This window comes from Homo sapiens, chromosome 13 (genome assembly GCF_000001405.40).
Source record: "Homo sapiens chromosome 13, GRCh38.p14 Primary Assembly".
Lineage (NCBI taxonomy): Eukaryota > Metazoa > Chordata > Mammalia > Primates > Hominidae > Homo > Homo sapiens.
This window is the reverse complement of record NC_000013.11, coordinates 88,506,217-88,515,373: the sequence shown is the minus strand read 5'-3', so window position 1 is coordinate 88,515,373 and position 9,157 is coordinate 88,506,217. Positions and strand designations below refer to the sequence as shown.

The 9,157-nt window shown below is 41.3% G+C and overlaps 1 annotated feature.

The window, feature by feature from the left end:
* Positions 2,163-2,998: an enhancer, noted in NCBI's record as "OCT4-NANOG-H3K27ac-H3K4me1 hESC enhancer chr13:89164631-89165466 (GRCh37/hg19 assembly coordinates)". NCBI's record gives its function as "activates a minimal SCP1, AML or CMV promoter by ChIP-STARR-seq in naive and primed H9 embryonic stem cells {active_cell/tissue: H9 hESC(naive and primed)}" and the evidence as "EXISTENCE:reporter gene assay evidence [ECO:0000049][PMID:30033119]".

Below are 9,157 nucleotides of genomic sequence, written 5' to 3'. Positions count from 1 at the left end.
CATATATTCTCCTATCCTCAATACCTGCCTCTACAACCCATTATTCTGTTCTGGATCTCAAACATGCTTTCTTTACTATTCCTTTGCACCCTTAATCCCAGCCTCTCTTCGCTTTCACTTGGACTGACCCTGACACCCATCAAGCTCAGCAAATTACCTAGGCTGTACTGCTGCAAAGCTTCACAGACAGCCCCCATTACTTCAATCAAGCCCAAATTTCTTCCTCATCTGTTACCTATCTCGGCATAATTCTCATAAAAATACATGTGCTCTCCCTGCCAATCGTGTGGGACTGATCTCTCAAACCCCAGCACCTTCTACAAAACAACAACTACTTTCCTTCCTAGGCATGGTTAGTGCGGTCAGAATTCTTACACAAGAGCCAGGACCACACCCTGTAGCCTTTCTGTCCAAACAACTTGACCTTACTGTTTTGGCCTAGCCCTCATGTCTGCGTGCAGTGGCTGCTGCTGCTTTAATACTTTTAGAGGCCCTCAAAATCACAAACTATGCTCAACTCACTCCCTACATTTCTCATAACTTCCAAAATCTATTTTCTTCCTCATACCTGACGCATATACTTTCTGCTCCCCGGCTCCTTCAGCTGTACTCACTCTTTGTTAAAACCCACAGTTATCATTGTTCCTGGCCCAGACTTCAATCCGGCCTCCCACATTATTCCTGATACCACACCTGACCCCCATGACTGTATCTCTCTGATCCACCTGACATTCACCCTATTTCCCCATATTTCCTTCTTTCCTGTTCCTCACCCTGATCACGCTTGATTTATTGATGGCGGTTCCACCAGGCCTAATCACCACACACCAGCAAAGGCAGGTTATGCTATAGTACAAGCCACTAGCCCGCCTCTTAGAACCTCTCATTTCCTTTCCATCGTGGAAATCTATCCTCAAGGAAATAACTTCTCAGTGTTCCATCTGCTATTCTACTACTACTCAAGGATTATTCAGGCCCCCTCCCTTCCCTACACATCAAGCTCGAGGATTTGCCCCCACCCAGGACTGGCAAATTAGCTTTACTCAACATGCCCGAGTCAGGAAACTAAAATACCTCTTAGTCTAAGTAGACACTTTCACTGAATAAGTAAAGTCCTTTCCTACAGGGTCTGAGAAGGCCATCGCAGTCATTTCTTCCCTTCTGTCAGACATAATTCCTCAGTTTAGCCTTCTCACCTCAATACAGTCTGATAACAGACGAGCCTTTATTAGTCAAATCAGCCAAGCAGTTTTTCAGGCTGTTAGTATTCAGTGAAACCTTTATATCCCTTATGGTCCTCCGTCTTCAAGAAAAGTAGAATGGACTAAAGGTCTTTTAAAAACACACCTCACCAAGCTCAGCCACCAAAAAGGACTGGACAATACTTTTACCACTTTTCCTCCTCAGAATTCAGGCCTGTCCTCGGAATGCTACAGGGTACAGCCCATTTAAGCTCCTGTATAGACGCTCCTTTTTATTAGGCCCCAGTCTCATTCCAGACACCAGACCAACTTAGACTGTGCCCCAAAAAACTTGTCATCCCTACTATCTTCTGTCTAGTCACACTCCTATTCACCATTCTCAACTACTCATACATGCCCTGCTCTTGTTTACACTGCCGGTTTACACTGTTTTTCCAAGCCATCACAGCTGATATCTTCTGGTGCTATCCCCAAACTGCCACTCTTAACTCTTGAAGTAAATAAATAATCTTTGCTGGCAGGACTATGCTGAATCTCCTTAGGCACTCTCTAATCAGATATCCTGAGTCGTCCCAATTCTTAGACCTTTTATACCTGTTTTTCTCCTTCTGTTATTCCATTTAGTTTCTCAATTCATCCAAAACTGTATCCAGGCCATCACCAATCATTCTATATGACAAATATTTCTTCTAACATCCCTGCAATATCACCTCTTACCACAAGACCTCCCTTCAGCTTAATCTCTCCCACTCTAGGTTCCCACGCCACCCCTAATCCCGCTTGAAGCAGCCCTGAGAAACATCGCCCATTCTCTCTCCATACCAACCCCCCAAAATTTTTGCCACCCCAACACTTCAACACTATTTTGTTTTATTTTTCTTATTAATATAAGAAGGCAGGAATGTCAGGCCTCTGAGCCCAAGCCAAGCCATTGTATCCCCTGTGACTTGCAGTTATACACCCAGATGGCCTGAAGTAACTGAAGAATCACAAAAGAAGTGAATATGCCCTGCCCCGCCTTAACTGATGACATTCCACCACAAAAGAAGTGTAAATGGCCGGTCCTTGCCTTAAGTGATGACATTACCTTGTGAAAGTCCTTTTCCTGGCTCATCCTGGCTCAAAAAGCACCCCCACTGAGCACCTTGTGACCCCCACTCCTGCCCTCCAGAGAACAAACCCCCTTTCACTGTAATTTTCCTTTACCTACCCAAATCCTATAAGACAGCCCCACCCTTATCTGCTTTTGCTGACTCTCTTTTCGGACTCAGCCCGCCTGCACCCAGGTGAAATAAACAGCCATGTTGCTCACACAAAGCCTGTTTGGTGGTCTCTTCACAGGGACACGCATGAAACCTCTCTAGGCTTTTCATTGTGTGTATTACCACAGCAGTCACAAACTCAGATACATCACATTAGCAGAAAACAAAGAACTGAACATCAAAAATGCACACTATGATTTTTAAATACTAAATATAAAAATGCCTTCACTTTGAAAGCTATAAAATGAGCATTTAAAAATATTCTTGCAAATAAGTTGAAGTGGAGATATCATTTGAAATGATGCAACTACTATATTTTTTATTTCCTGTAATTTCACACATTGGTACAAATGTCAAATCTTTCTTTCTCTTGTCACACATTTTCTCTTTCTTCTAGCTTTGTGCCACACAACCTCTTCCCTTCCTCCAGGAAGAGTCTATATATTAAGCTAGGAACATTTGTTTATTTCCAGAACAAGTTGGTAAAGGGGCAAAAAAAAAAAAAAAAAAAAAAAGATGTAAAATCAGAATTGAACCATATTTCCAAATTTGAGACAGAAAGTTGAAAACATTGGCCAAAAGCCCTATCTAATTCTGAACATGCATTCATCTCCTTGATTTAAAATATATTATCAAAGATATTTGATTTGCTTTGTATTTGAAATTAATTTTCTAGAGAATTTTTTAAATATAATAATTTCCGTATCACCTTTTGTTTCACTATCACTACAATTCCCCTGAACAAAATTAATCTCTATTCTCTTCAGATTACTTTGCTGGCTGGTAGCAAAGTGCTGATTTTCAGCAGGATAATATTTACAATGTTAATTGATTATTTGCTTTTAAACATCCTTTTCATTTCCTCTTCCATGTTCAGTTTGCTCATATCTTTTTTCTCTCTCAATATAACAGTGAATGAATAGCACGATAGAATACAAAACTGCTTATCCTTGACTTTTTACTGAAAAAAGAGTTTGGAAAAACAAACATTTTTTTTTCAATATCAAAACCAGCATACTGAAGTGAAAATAAATAATGTTTATATCAGACGTAAGAAACTGAGAATATCACAGACTATGAGGAAATAAAAGTAATATCTTGTTGGGAAATTGTTGTAAGCTAGTGATAAAGAGAGCTAAATTTCTTCCATTTATCCTTCCCACCTCCACTTGCTCCCAGGGTAATGCCTACAGCATGCAGAAAGGAGTAGGGGGAAATATACATCCAAAAAACGTGAAACAAAAACTTTTAGGAAAATGTATATCAGAATAGGACAGTTCTGCACTTCTGGGTAGAATTTGGGGAAGCAGCAAAGCTGTGCACTCATCATGACTCAGAGATAGCAGAAGCAGGAGATTTGAGATGGCAGACATGTCCTCAGATGAGAGTAACTATTTCCTACATATCAATGAGAGAGGGGCTAAGCAGTCTGGAAAGAACTTTTAGTGAAGAAGGTATACTGCAGTCTAAAATAAAGATTTCTCACAAATATCATTAGATGATGAACGAGGACAAAGATTCTCCCCTGTTCAAAAACAAAATAAACATATTACTTGATTTTCCTTAATGGCTTTGTAGATTATTCTGTCCTATCCAGAATGGGATGATGAGAAACACTAAAATTTATTTATTGAGACTAAGTTTCACAGACTGGGGGAAGAAAGATTCTAAGTAAAATTCAGACTCACTTACTGAAATAAAAAATATAATTTCTTCCATATCTATATTTATGAAATGAAATATTTTAACTGCTATATTCAGAAATTTAGGCAATTAAACATTAAACGCTAATACTGTTGATAAAAAATGTTAATGTTGAAAAATATACTTTGATGTAATGTGTCTAACTAGTACATGAGCATGGCATTATGTGTAAGGCACAAAATTCAGTGTTTAAGAGGAATTTACTTACTTCAAAGAGTAATAATTATAAGTCACGTAAAGAAAGAAGTCACAAAATGTTCTTTTTTTTTTTTTTTTTTTTTTGAGATGGAGTCTCGCTGTCTCACCCAGGCTGGAGTACAGTGGTGCGATCTTGGCTCAGTGCAACCTCTGCCTTCCAAGTTCAAGTGATTCTTGTGCCTCAGCCCCCAAGAAGCTGGGATTACAGGTGTGCATCACCATGCCCAGCTAATTTTTTTATATTTATAGTAGAGACATGATTTCCCCAAGTTGGCCAGGCTGGTCTCGAACTCCTGACCTGAAGTGTTCTACATGCCTCAGCCTCCCAAAGTGCTGGGATTACAGGCGTGAGCCACCACACCTGGCCAGAAGTCACAAAATATTCTATATACGATTAGTTATTTTTAAAATTACAAGAGATATCAAAAATATATTTAAAAATTAAAATTAGCTAAAATTTGTTATATTAATCTGCTTAGGCTGTGATAACAAAATATCAGAGACTGTGTGGATTAAACAACAGATATTTATTTTCCCATAGTTTTGAAGTCTAGAACTTCCAGATCAAAGTCTGGCAGAGATGATTTCTGTTTAGAGCCCTCTTTTTTATTCACAGACAACCACATTCTTACTACATCCTCACATGGCCTGGCCTTATTTACATATGTAGGTTAAGAGAAAATTTTCTGATTTCTGTTCTCTATGGATATTAATTGATATTGTGTGGATATTTTTTCCTTCCAAATCTTACGAGTTGTGATTCCTAGTGTTGGAAGTGGGGCCTGGTGGGAGGTGATTGGATCATGAAGGCAGATCCCTCATGAATGGCTAAGCACCATCCCCTTGGTGACAAGTGAGTTCTCACTCTGATTTCATGCAGTATGTGTTTGTTAAAAAGAGCATGGTATTTCCCCACTCTCTCTTTTACTCTCATTCTCGCTGTGTGGTATACCAGCTCCCCTTTCTACCATAACTGTAAGCTTCCTGAGGCCTTTGCCAGAATTAGATACTTCTGTATAGCCTGCAGAACCATGGGCCCATACTTCCTGTGAGCCTGCAGAGCTGTGGACCAATGAAGCTTCTATTTCTTTATAAATTACCCAGTCTCAGGTATTTCTTTATAGCAACACAAATAGCCTAACACAAAAAATTGGTACTCGAAGTGAAACATTGCTAAAAAGATATCTGAACATGTGAAAGCAGCTTTGGAACTGGGTAATGGGCAGAGGTTGGAAGAGTTTGGAGGACTCAGAAGAAGACAGGAAGATAAGAAAAAGTTTAGAACTTCTTAGAGACTGCAAAAATGATTGGGACCAAAATGCTGATAAAATATGGCCAGTGATGGCTAGGCTGATGAGGTCTCAGATGGAAAAAAGGAAGTAATACGGAATTGGAGTAAAAGTCACCTATGTTACACCCTTGCAAAGAGCTTGGCTGCATTGTGTCCACATCCTAGGAATCTGTGTAAGTCTGAACTTAAAAATGATGATTTAAGTTATTTGGTGGAAAAAACTTCAAACCAGCAAAGCATTCAAGAAGCACTGCAGCTGCTTCTAACAACCTACAATCATAGATGGGGGCAAAACATGTTAGAACTTATATATAACAGAGAAGCAAATCGTAAAAACTTGGAAAATGTGCACCCTGGCTGTTTGATAGAAAAGGAATAGGCATTTTTCAGGAGAGAAATACAAGTGGGATGCAGGGCAACCACTTGCTAGAGAGAGTAGCATGACTAAAAAAGAGCAACGTGCTAACATACAAAACAATGAGAAAAAGGCCTCAGAGGCATTTTCTGGGATATTCAAGGCAGCACCTCTTAGGACAGGTCTAGAGGGCTAGAAGGAAAAAATAAAAGGCTTCAGGGACTAGGCCCATGACCCCATTGCCCTGCACAGCCTCAGGAAACTGTTCCCATCATCCCAGCTGCTGTAGCTCTAGCAGTGGTTCAAAGGTCCCCAGGTACAGTGTGGACCAACACTCCAGAAGGTACAAACCATAAGTCTTGGCAGCTTCCACATTTTATTAAGTCTGCAGGCACACAGCATGCAAGCATGAAGGAGGCTTGGAAGCTTCCCCTAGGTTTCAGAGAATGTGTAAGTAGCCTGGGTTCCCAGACAGAAGCCTGCCAGAGGGGCAGAACCCTCACATAGAACCTCTATTAGGACAGGGTGAAGGGGAAATGTGGGGTTCGAGCCCCCAAACAGAGTCCCCACCAGTGTACTTCCTAGTGGAGCTGAGGGAAGCCCTTCAGATTCCAGAATGGTAGAGCCACAAGCAGTTTGCATTCTTGTCTAGAAAAGCCACAGGTACTCAACTCCAAACTGTAAGAGCAGCCATGGGGGCTGCACCCTGCAATGCCAGAGGAGGGGAGCTACCCAAGGCCTCAGGAGCCCACCCTTTGCACTGGTGTACCCTAGATTTGGGATGTGGAGTCAAAGGAGATTATTTTGTAGCTTTAAAATTTAATGACTGGCCTGCTGGATTTCAGACTTGTGTAGGGCCTGCAGTCACTTTCTTAAGTCCAATTTCTCCCTTTTGGAGAGGGAATCTTTACCCAATGCCTGTACCACCATTGTGTCTTGAAATTAAATGACTTGTTTTGAACTTTCAGGTTCAGAGGGGGAAGAAACTTGGCCTTGAGTTGCAGATGAGACTTTGGACTTTTGATTTAGTCGATGCTGAAATGAGTTAGGACTTTGGAAGACTATTGGGAAGGGATGATTGTATTTTGAAACTTGATAAGGACTTGAGATTTGAAGGGCAAGGGTTAAATAATATAGTTTGGATGTTTGTCCTCTCCATGTCTCATGTTGAGATGTGATTCCCAGTCTTGGAAGTGGGGCCTGGTGGAAGGTGATTGGATCATGGGGATGAATCCCTCATGAATGGCTTAGCACCATCCTCTTGGTGATATGTGAGTTCTCACTTTGAGTTCATATAAAATTTGATTGTTTAAAAGAGTGTGGCACTTCCCCTTCTTTTTGCTCCTGCTCTCACCGTTTGATACAACTCCCCTTTCACCTTTTGCCATGATTCTAAGCTTCCTGAGGTCCTCACCAGAAACAGAGGCTGGCACCATGCTTTCTGTACAGCCTGTGGAACTGTAAGCCAATTAAACCTCTTTTCTTTTTAAATTACCCAGTCTCAGATATTCCTCAATAGGGATACAAATTGCCTAACACACTAGTCTTATCAAATCAGGGCCCACTCTTGTGACCTCATTTAATCATAATTATGTCCTTACTCTAAATATAGACACACTGAAGTTTATAACTTCAGCATATGAATTCTGGCAAAACACAATATTCAGTCCATAACAGTCACCATCCTGAGATGAAATACAATAAACATAATTTTTTCATGAATTCTATAACATACCTTATGTTATATTACACCTGAATTTTTTGTGTTTTTGTTTTGTTTTGTTTTGAACTTGGGCACATATATTTACTGAAATGTATAAGGGCATTTTTTATTGACTTAGTTCTGCATGGCAGAGGAAACCTCAGGAAACTTACAATCATGGTGGAAGGCACCTCTTCACAAGGTGGCAGGGGAGAGAATGAGTGCTAGCAGGGGAAATGTCAGATATTTATAAAGCCATCATATCTCATGAGAACTCACTGGCTATCATGAGAACAGCATGGGGGAAACTGTCCCCATGATTCAATTACCTCCCACTGGCTACCTCCTATGATACATGGGGATTATGGGGATTAAAATCCAAGATGAGATTTGGGTGGGGAGACAGGCAAACCATATCATTCCATGCCTGGCCCCTCCCAAATCTCATGTTCTTATATTTTGAAACACAATCATGCCTTCCCAATGGTCCCCCAAAGTCTTAACTCATTACAGCATTAAACCAAAGTCCAAATCCAAAGTCTTATCTGAAACAAGGCAAGTCCCTTCTGCCTATGGGCACGTAAAATGAAAACCAAGTTATTAACTTCCTAGATACAATGGGAATATAGGCATTGGGTAAATACATCTATTCCAAGTGAGAAACTGGTCAAAAGAAAGGGGCTACAAGGCCCCATGCAGGTCTGAAATCCAACAGGGCAGTCATTAAACCTTAAAGTTCTGAAATAATCTTCTCTATGTCTCATATCCAAGTCATGCTGATACAACAGGTGAGCTCCTATGGCCTTGGGCAAAACCATCCCTGTGGCTTTGAAGAGTACTGTCCCCTTCCTGGCTGCTTTCACAACTGTCATTGAGTGTCTGCAGGTTTTCCAGGCACATGGTGCAAGCTGTCAGTGGATGTACCATTCTGGGGTCTGGAGGATGGTGGCCCTCTTCTCACAGCTCCACTAGGCAGTGCTCCAGTGGGGATTCTGTGGGGGGGCTCTAACCCAGGTTTTCCTTCTGCACTGCCCTAGCAGAGGTTTTCCATGAGGACACCATCACTGCAGAAGACTTCTGCCTGAACATCCAGGAACTTCCATATATCCTCTGAAACCTAAGTGGAGGTTCTCAAACCTCAATTCTTGTCTTCTGTGCACCTGTAGGACCAACACCATGTGAAAACTGCCAAGGCTTTGGGCCTGCATCCTCTGAAATAATGGCCTGAGCTGTACCATGCCCCCTTTTAGCCACAGCTGGAGCAGTTGAGACACAGAGCACCAGGTCCTAAGGCTGCACATGGCAGGGAGACACTAGACTGGGCCCAGGAAACTATATTTTCCTCCTAGGCCTCCATGCCTCTGATGGAAGGGGCTGCCATGAATGTCTCTAACGTGCCCTGGAAACATTTTCCCTATTGCCTTGGCAATTAGCATTTGACTT